Here is a 10,836-nt window from a genome sequence, read left to right as displayed (position 1 = left end):
AATTTTAAGGCATTCTTTTTATGATGATTTAAAAAAAACTTAAGCATGTAATCTCATAATAATGATGTAATTGATTGTACAGTACAAGCACCTGAAGTGTGGGACCAGCAGTCTGAACCTTATTTTTCATTTAAATCAGGGCAGTTATCTACTTCTGAGGGTGCTCTTGTCACGTGTAGACAACAGAGTGATTTGCGCCATTCCCAACTCTCCCTAGTCGCACTGTGTTTGTTTTGTTGTTGCTCTTTGGGGACTCATGGCTCTAACTGCAGCTTTCTGCCAGCCTCATCAGTGCCTCTCAACCTCTTCTGGCTTCTCAGCATTGTGCAGCCTGTGCTGCAGCCTGTCATTTGCAAGTCGGTCCCTGTGCTGGGCTGGAAGTGGGTAATTCTTCCCCACAATGCCCTGTTTGTCAGTCTTGAGCATTTAAAGTGCAACGTGGTTGGCAGCAGCAGATGTGCTGTGTACACCCACTCTGCTCAACCTCATTAGCTGTCTCGCTGCAAGGCAAATTGCCGGGGGAATGCAAGCTCTAGTCCTGCTGCAGATGCTGAGAGCCGGATGTTCACTGACAACTCTTCCTAAACAGCAGCTGGTTTCTCCTTCTTTCCTCTTGTGCATCTTTTGAACTCAGTTTGAGAAACTAACATTCGTTCATTGCCTCTACGAACTATGAATATTTAGGAATATTCTAAATGTATTAAGGCAGAACCACTTATCAAATGCGTATTATGCAGAAGGTGCATCCTCTCTACTATATTTTAATCCTCATTTCAACCTCTGGGAGGTAGGTATGGAGTCAGAAAGAACTGGGTTTGAATGCTGATGCTGCCATTCCCCAGCAGTGTGACATGCAGTCCCTCAAGTGACTTCACTGAGTTTTAGTTCCTAATCTGTATAATGAAGATAATAATGCGCCCTCTATAGGGTTGTTATGAGATTTAAACGGGATGGTTGATGTAAGTTCCTTAACAAGGTGGCTTGGCATGTAATAAGTGTTTAATAAAGGTAGCTATTATGGAGAGTTTGAACTTGGCCAGGTTACTTGACTTACCCAAAGTTGTACAACTATTAAGTGATGGAACTGGGCTGTGAGTTCATCTTTTGAAATTGATTTCTGTTGGGGGAAGTTAGGGACCCCGAACAGAGGGACTGGCTGGAGCCGAGGCAGAAGGACATAAATTGTGAAGATTTCATGGACACTTATCACTTCCCTAATAATACTCTTAAAATTTCTTATGCCTGTCTTTACTTTAACTCTTAATCCTGCTATCTTTGTAAGCTGAGAATGTACGTCACCTCAGGACCACTATCGTACAAATTGACTGTAGAATATGTGTGTTTGAACAAAATGAAATCTGATTGTAAAACATGTGTTTGAACAATATGAAATCAGTGCACCCTGAAAAGGAACAGAATAACAGTGATTTTCAGGGAACAAGGGAAGATAACCATAAGGTCTGACTGCCTGCGGGGTCAGGCAGAAGAGAACCATATTTTTCTTCTTGCAGAAAGCCTATAAACAGACGTGCGAGTAGGAGAAATATCGCTGAATTCTTTTCCCAGGAAGGAATAACCCTGGGGAAGGAATGCATTCCTGGGGATAGGTCTATAGACAATCCTTCTGGGAGTGTCTGTCTTATGCGGTTGAGATAAGGACTGAAATACACCCTGGTCTCCTGCAGTACCCTCAGGCTTACAAGGATTGGGAAATTGCAGCCTGATAAATTCTAGTCAGACCGGTTCTCTGCTCTCGAACCCTGTTTCCTGTTAAGATGTTTATCAAAACAGTACATGCACAGCGGGACATAGACCCTCATCAGTAATTCTAATTTTGCCTTTGCCTTGTGATCTTTATGGCCCTTTGAAGCATGTGATCCTTGTGACCTACTCCCTGTTCTTACACCCCCTCCCCTTTTAAAATCCCTAATAAAAACTTGCTGGTTTTGTCGCTTGGGGTCATCATCACGGTCCTACCAATATGTGATGTCACCCCCGGAAGCCCAGCTGTAAAATTTCTCTCTTTGTACTCTTTCTCTTTATTCCTTAGACTGGCTGACACTTAGGGAAAATAGAAAAGCCCTATGTTAAAATACTGGGGGCTGGTTCCCCCGATAGATTTCCTTTTCTTCAACTCTTCTTCTTTTTTTTTTTTTGAGACAGAGTCTTGCTCTGTCACCCAGGCTGGAGTGCAGTGGCGCAGTCTTGGCTTACTGCAACCTCTGCCTCCTGGGTTCAAGCGATTCTCCTGCCTCAGCCTCCTGAGTAGCTGGGATTATAGGAGCCTGCCATCATGCCTGGCTAATTTTTGTATTTTTAGTAGAGGCAGGGTTTCACCATGTTGTTGGCCAGGTTGGTCTTGAACTCCTGGTCTCAAATGATCCACCCACCTTGGCCTCCCAAAGTACTGGGATTACAGGCATGAGCCACCATGCCCAGCCACACTCTTCTTTTATTAGAAAAGATGCCGTGTTAGTGCCAGAGCACCATGAAACAGAAATGGGAGCTCTTGGGTACTTCAGCAGTGAGCTGTGCCATTAAATTGCAAGGCTAATAATAAAAAAAATTAGAATACAAGAGCTAATATCTATTGAGTACCCACTATATGGTTGGTGTACATGAAGCATTTGGCATGCAGTCTGTAGTCTTTTTAACAGTGTTCACAAAAATTTGGCCATTTGTGTTCTGTCTTCACAAGTTTTGCCATTTCTGTGTGCCACCTAAACCATTATTTTACTTAATAATTTTCTTTAAAATGGACTAACATTATTATTTAAACAAATGTATTTTCTAAAAGACAAGTTGTTATTGCTACTGTAAATAGAAAGCCAGCATCAACTACCACAAATAGGAGATGACCAGGAAAAGAAAAACAATTAAAACAAAGCAGTGTTATCAAGTTCCAACTAGATAATACTCTGGACCTGAGGCCTGATCTCTTTAAGGAAGATTAACAAGTGTTAGCTTTTTAAAGCGTGCTAGAACCGGGCCAGGCACCGTGGCTCGTGTCTGTAATCCCAGCACTTTGGGAGGCCAAGGTGGGTGGATCTTTTGAGGTCAAGAGTTCAAGACCAGCCTGGCCAACATGGTAAAATCCTGTCTCTACCAAAAATATCAAAATTAGCTGGGCATGGTGGCAGGCATCTGTAATCCCAGCTACTCGGGAGGCCAAGGCCAGAGAATTGCTTGAACCCAGGAGGCAGAGGTTGCAGCGAGCCAAGATTGCACCACTGCACTCCAGCCTGGGTGACAGAGTGAGACTCCGTATCAATAAATAAACAAATAAATAGTGCACTAGAACCAAACAGGCATTTCTTCTTGCCTTAACTTGAACCACTGAAAGAGAACTGGGGAAAGAACAACGTTCTCACTTGCTATTCCATGTTACTTAATGCTCTGTCTGTCTACCACATAAATAATTGTACGGGCCCCCATTTCCTGCTAAAGGAAACTCTGCCATGCAACCAGCCTGCAGGGAGTTGTTGTACAACTAGTAAGTGATGGAACTGGGCTGTGAGTTTGTGAGTTTGTCTTTTGAAAGTCACAGTGCTACCCATTTTCCAGGTGGGACTGAAGCTCAGTGTGGTCACACAGTGTACACAAGGTTAGACATAAGTGGTCAAAGATACAGTCAGAATTGAGGTATTTCTCGAGGAAACGGGAGAAATGTGTCAGACTTCAGTAGGCTTGATAATGGAGCCTGCGTAAGAGCACTGGTGCGTTTGCCTGAGTTTTCCGTTACAAGTTCATGGTCATTGAGCTAATTGAGTTGCTGAGGTCCTCAGCAGCCTGAGAAACCCTGACACCCTTGGGGAGATGGCTGTGGTCCATGCGCTTAGAGTAGGGCAGGAGGGGATCTCTGCAGTAGGCAGTTAAGTGCCTGCTGCAGCTTTGACATTAGCCGTGGTAGTTCATGCAGCCACCTTCCTGCCTGAAGTGCCACTGGCTGGGCCTGCTGTGGGGAGTGGGGGTCTAAGAAGGTGTCAGAACCTGAGGTTGTCCCAGGCCTGTAGAGGTCATTGGCTGGAGGAGAGTACTGACTGCTGTAGATACAGGCCATCTACAGGCCCTGGGGTGGTGGGAAGAGGGCAAGCCTCTCCTACTGTCAGGCAGAACAGGGATTGGGGAATAGGGAGGTGGGATGAAATGGGATGGGGCAGATGACTGTGGCAATTCCTATAGTCGCTCTGTCTTGACATTCCAAAACATGGAAAAGTTGATATGACAAACCCAGTCAGAAAGAGACAGAAAATGCCAAACAGGAAGAGTGGTGGCCTTAGTGATGTCAGACGCCATGACACGCTCTCTTAATAATTGGGATGAGACAAGTTCTCATCCCAATTATTCCATTAAATTACTTAGCACAGTAAACTTGGGAAAATACTTACCTTCTTGCACCTCAGTTTTTTTTTTTTTGAGACAGAGTCTTGCTCTGTTGCCCAGGCTGGAGTGTAGTGGGGGATCTCAGCTCACTGCAACCTCTGCCTCCAGGGTTCAAGTGATTCTCCTGCCTCAGCCTCCTGAGTAGCTGGGACTACAGGTGTGTGCCACCACACCTGGCTAATTTTTTTTTTTTTTCATTTTTGTAGAGACGAGGTTTCTCCTTGTTGGCCAGGCTGATCTCAAACTCCTGACCTCAGGTGATCCACTTGCCTCAGCCTCCCAAAGTGCTGAGATTACAGGCATGAGCCACTGTGCCCGGCCTGCACCTGAGTTTTCTAATCTGAGAAATGGGATAATGCCAATATCCACTTATAGAGTTGTTTGGAAGATGAAATTAGCTAAGTACCTAGCAACATGCAGGCTGCTCACTAAATGGCGGTTTGCTCTTTCCCCTCCTCCTCCTCACTGTGGCATATGCTACCTTAAATCCTCCCTTTCCACCCAGCCCCACCGTCCCCCAAACTGATACCATCTTCTGGAGGACTTGGGTTGAGATAGTACACATTTGGGCTAGGTGGCAAGAATAATAACATCTTACACATATTAGGAGTGCCTTGGCTATTTGTAGTTGCTCACATTCCCCAACAAATCATGGTCTATAGCCTGCTGAGCTGCTTAGTTTTGTTTTGTTTTGTTAAGAAACCTTTGGCTTTCTGCCTGGTGCCACTCCAGCAAGAGGGAGCATCATGGCGTCTGACATTGCCAAGGCCACCTCTCTTCCTGTTTGGCATTTTCTGTCTCTTTCTGACAGGGTTTGTCAGATCAGCTTTGCAGTGTTTTGGAATGTGAAGACAGAGCGACTATAGGAATTGCCACAGTCATCCCCCCAACCCCATTTCATCCCACCTCCCTATTCCTCCATCCCTGTTCTGCCTGACAGTACGGGAAGCATCCAACAGGGAAAAAGTAGTTGGTTTTCATGACACACACTTCAAAAGGTTGAAGTTGTCCAGGCAAAACCTGGTGTCTCCCTAAATGGCCAATTATGAACCTGTCCCTTCTGTATATCCAGCAGCCCCCTTTTAGCTTTGCCATCCTTCACCCTGTCCCTTCTCTGTGGAGTATTGGTTTCTACAAAACTGAGGAGGAAGATTTTACTTAGTAGCATAGACTTTGTATATACGATTTTCTTCAACAATTCCATCAAATGGGTATTATCTTTATTTTAGATGAAGGCATGGAGATGCAGAGAAGTTAAGGAAATTACTAAAATTCTCCATCCAGGCAACGACTGAGCTGGGAGGCAAACCCAGGCACTTGACCAAGCCCCTGTCAAATGCTGTGCCAGTAAACGACCCCTTCCTTATAGATGCGGAACATGGTAGTCAATTCTGTGAGGAGCTCTGCAGCTTCCACTCCCTACCTCCCCTAGACTAAGGCATACACCCCTCCTGGCTGGGAGAGTTGGGAGCTGGCAGCTCTCTTCCCTTGGCAGATCCCCTTGCCTCAGAGCCGCACAACTCTGCAGGGCCACCCCAGCTCCAGGCTTTCAGTGGGATCGGCTGAGGCTTTAGTTGTGACTACATCACAGCTCTGTTTCTCCTTCCGCCCACTCCTGCGGCCGTTGCACTCCCACAAGTGTGATCTGGAGCGCACTTGCCAATGAACTTTCCTATATGCAAGTCTCCGTCTCAGGATCTGTTTCTCAGGGACTCCAGCCCTGGCGGACATCTCCATATCCTGATGTCTCAGTTTTGGGTGCAGAAGCCTGCATCCTGCTAACAGGAGATGGTAGAGAATGGTTCTAGAACCATGTCGCCCGGATTAGAATCTTAGACTCCACTACTTACAGTGGTGTGATCTTGCAGATTAGCTCATCTTCTCAGAACCTCAGCTTCCTTATTTGTAATATGAGCATAAGAATAATATCTCTCTTACCAGCTATGGCAACAGAGAAAACTTAGGTCATGCACGTAACTAGAGCCTGGCACATAGGAACAGGCGGTAATGTTAGGTATCAGTAGTAGCAGGTCCTGCTGAACACTCCTTCTCTGTATCCCCTGTTTTCTTGGATTCCTTGAAATCACACCCTCCTTATTCACCTACTTTTCTCAACATTCGTCCTCTGTTGGCTTTCTGGCTCCGCCTCCTCCCACTGCCCTCTAAATGTATTTTTCTTGAATTTCAGTCCCTCTCTGGCTCCCTCTGCTTTTCCCGTTCATGTTCTGTCTTTCTAGTTTCCACACAGCAGGTCAGTGGCCTGCAAGCTCTCAAGCCCAGTCAAGAGCCCTTGCAATGGACTGAGTTTATTTGTATATATTTTTTAAGTGATGTAGTTTTTGTGTTTCTTTGTTTGTTTTGTTTTGTTTTGTTTTGTTTTGTTTTTTTGAGACAGGGTCTCGCTCTGTCACCCAGGCTGGAGTGCGGTGGCACAATCTCGGCTCACTGCAACCTCCACCTCCTGGGTTCAAGCGATTCTCGTGCCTCAGCCTCTGGAGTAGCTGGGATTACAGCCACATGCCACGTGCATGGCTAATTTTTGTATTTTTTGGTAGAGATGGGGTTTCACCTTGTTGGCCAGGCTGATCTCGAACTCCTGACCTCAAGTGATCCGCCCACCTCGTCCTCCCAAAGTGCTGGAATTATAGGTGTGAGCCACCCACCAGGCCATAAGCAAAGTAGTTTTTAAGGAGGGTGGACAGACCTGCCGTTTGCATGAATAACCAGAGCATTTCCCATTTGGGCTGCTCCCAAAGTCAGCATGTCAAAGCTTTTGAACTGTGTTAACCACTTTGTTTGCCACTTATGCCCTTGAGTAAGGGCACCTGCTTGTCTTATAGTAGGTGCTATTGTCAAGGCCGATGCAGAGAAAGCAAGAGGAGGCAGAGAGGTGGGTAACTGCTCTTTGAAGTTCTATGACAAGAAACAGGGTAAAGAGACTCTGGACAAGTCCTGGTATGATGAAAAGAGGGAGCCATTATGCTCAGGGCTTTGTAGACTGTTTTGATAAATACCCTAAATCTCATTTTTTACAGATCCATTACAAGACTTTTAGGAAAGTATAAAACCTGTGAAAATGATATACAAGAACGTCTACTGATGGCCTGTGTTTTGGATTCAATTGATCTACAAACTAAATCAATGAAAAAATAGTTTCTGGCTTTACAGGTTAAAGTTTTAAAATGTGGTTCTAAGAGGAGAAGAGGAGGTTAGGGGTCTGCGAGAGGAAAAGATAGGGCAGGAAAAGGTGAGGAGAGAAGGAGGAGAAGGAACCTGACCTGTCATAGTCATTACTGTGGGATCAGCACTTTAAAAATGTCTTCTCTTTAATATTCATAAAATCTCTGTAAGGGTAGAATATTATGCCCATTTTACAGATAAGGAAATAGGAGCTTAGAACAGATAAAAACCCATCCTAAGCCACAATCAGGATGGTCTGATTCCAAAGCCTGTGTTTTTAACATCCTACCTCACTGGAGGAGCTAGCGGTCATAGGATGCCATAACTTTACCTGTAATCAGCTTCAGTTTCTGTCATCACCCTTGTGACATGGAGGGACAGTGCTACAAGGTCATAACTAAAAAACATGTTCCAGAGTAACCTGGATTTGTTTATAACACAAGCCAATGGAAGTTTACAGTAAATTCATACTTCCCCATCCCCTAATTCACAACCATCTCCCCCTACCACACACACACCAGCCACACACTCCCAGTTCAGAAAACTTTCAGAGAGCTTCAGTTCTGTTGATTTTCATATTACCTATGCTTCAGCCCATTGTGGTCAAATGAATTGCACTTACTTTCGATCTACCTTCTTAACTTAGAAAATTCCAGAGGTGGGGTCCGGGTTATAACATTTGGGTGCTAAGATAAGGTCTTGTGTTGGCTAACTTATGGTATCCTTTCATCCCATCTGCATGAAAAATTCTTGCTTCCATGAAGAGCCACATCAAATGATTTTTCTTTTAATGACTGATATGGTTTGGATCTGTGTCCCACGCAAATCTCCTGTCGAATTGTAATCCCCAGTGTTGGATGTGGGGCCTGGTGGGAGGTGATTGGATCATTGCTGGGGGAAGGGCAGAGTTCTCATGGCTTAATACCATCGCCCCTTGGTGCTGTTGTGATAGTGAGTTCTCAGGAGATCTGACTGTTTAAAAATGTATATCACTTCCCCCTTCTTTCTCTTCCTCCTGTTCCGACCATGTGATGTGCCTGCTTTCCTTTCACCTTCTGCCATGATTGTAAGTTTCCTGAGGCTTCCCCAGAAGCCAAGCAGATGCCACCATGCTTCCTGTACAGCCTGCAGAATCGTGAGCCAATTCAACCTCTTTTCTTTATACATTACCCAGTCTCAGGTATTTATTTATGGCAGTCAGAGAATGGACTAATAAAATGCCCTTTTATGATCACTGCAAAGACAGAAAAAGAAGGAGAAATTATTTTGAAGAATAGACTTTAGAAAATAAATGAAGGTGTTTCCTTTCTTCTGTACTTGATTGAAAAAAAAAAATTTAGCATTTGAAATTTGTTACCTGTGGTTTTGAAGAATAAAATTCCCAAGCTTACTTATATGTTAGACTCGTGTTGGTCATCAAAACATGATCGGAGCTCCTAGTATTGGCGGTTGAAGGTATTAATAATATACGGCTGTCAAACAACCACCACCACCTCAGAACCGACATCTCAAAAGTGAAGCACCTTTGAAGCGGAGTGCGGGTTAGGATCTGCACTTGCCTCTTTGTGGCGTTGCAAGAAATGGTGCTGGGTTTCCCTGAATTTTAGATTTGAGAGGTCTTTCCAAGACACTTCTTGGTTACCTAGAGTCCAAGGGTTTCCTGAGGCCAAAGAAAGTCATTCTAGAAGACAGACTGTCAGCCAAAAGCATTAATTTTGCTTTCTCCCTTTGCTCCTGTTTGTGAAATATTTTCCAATTATTTTTCCATGTTCTTCTTAAGCAAGAAGTTCTTGGTGCTTTACTGCCTAGACTTTCAAAGTAAGGAGTTGAACCATTTGTTTCCGAAACAAAATGTTCACAGGACTCCCCCCACTGTATGGAAATCTACTTGCAAGAATAAAGTTTGAATCTTGCCTCAGGTTAAGGAACTCATTGGAATTTCTTGCAAGTGGTCCTGTCCAACCTGCACCATCACCCCTTCTAAGTTCACACCCTTCTCAGGTTCTGATTTGAAAGCACTTAATTAGAGGGCTGATTAGAACCTAATCAGGTTGCTAATGAAGTAGTTGACAGCCCAGATCAATTAAAAAAGGAAAAAGCATCCCTGGCCTTTTGTTTGCAGCTTCTACAGGAGATGACGTTCTCTTTTTAATTGCTTTGAAACAGGCTTTGCTGAACAAATCAGACTCTGTCATTCACGCTTGGCTCTCGGTCATGTTGCCTGCACCAGCAAGAGGCTGCACTGCAGCCAGAGGAAAGCTTTTGGACTTTGGAAAGCAAGGTTTTTCTTTTTCCTGTGCTTGATGCTTGTACATCTTACACTTCTAAGGGATTGCTCTGCCTACCTGTTCCCCCTCCTGAGCAACTGAGCTTCTGAGATAATCGCTATAAATCCCAACTAAGCCAAACTATTTAACCAGAACATCCCCATAGTATATATGTTTATCTCTCTGAGAAAGCAACAGTGAGAATGGAAACCAGACAAATATTTTATTAAATAATGCTTCTTCCCTTTTTGGTGCCAATCTGGATTCTGGACTCTAGACACAGATCCCTAGAGTTTGGATTATAATTTCTATAGAAGTAACAATAGTGGGTGTATTCTGACATCGTAGGCATTACTCAGTAGAAAATGAAATTGCTTTCTAGGTTTCATCATCACACAGTGTGTGAAGGTTATGTTGGAATCAGTAGGACACAAGGCCCTGGTGACAGGAACCAGACCACGGACTGAGGGAAAGAGGAGAATGGGAAGGGAGAGAGGTGGGGATCTGAGGGCAGCATTCGCTTACCGGTGCCAGGAAGAGCTATAGAAGTGGTTTAAAAAAATACTTTAAAGAATACAAATGGAGCACCTGTCGTGTGCTAGGCACCATGCTGAGCACGGGTTAGAGAGCAGTGAAGAACATGGCTCTTTGAAAGACAGACAACAAACTAATGATTGTAGATAAATAAGAGCATGCGCAGTGCTGCAGAGCATAAATCGTGAGCACTGGAGGCCTGACCTATACGGACGCAGCAGACTTCCCCGAGGAGTGTAGCGCAAGCTGAGAAGTGAAGGTCAAGTAAGAGATGGCTGGGCACGGGGCGGGGTTGGTGGGGGGAGGCGGGGGGTGCAGAGTGGAGTCCCCGCCAGCAGGAGTAGCACAGGGGCCTGCACAGGGAAGGGAGGCAGGGAAGCGGGGAGCAGGTATTGTGCTAGGAACTCGGCAAAGTCTCACATGCTGGAGGATTTCATGAGTTGGGGCTGGAGAGATGCCCAGTCATTTGTAG

The 10,836-nt window shown here is 44.8% G+C and overlaps 1 annotated feature.

The window, feature by feature from the left end:
- Positions 856–915: a silencer, noted in NCBI's record as "silent region_363". NCBI's record gives its function as "represses an Ori minimal core promoter by ATAC-STARR-seq in GM12878 lymphoblastoid cells {active_cell/tissue: GM12878}" and the evidence as "EXISTENCE:reporter gene assay evidence [ECO:0000049][PMID:35858748]".

Source organism: Homo sapiens, chromosome 1 (assembly GCF_000001405.40).
Source record: "Homo sapiens chromosome 1, GRCh38.p14 Primary Assembly".
Taxonomy (NCBI): Eukaryota; Metazoa; Chordata; class Mammalia; order Primates; family Hominidae; genus Homo; species Homo sapiens.
Note: the sequence above shows the minus strand (reverse complement) of the source record. Positions and strands in the feature narration are given on the sequence as shown.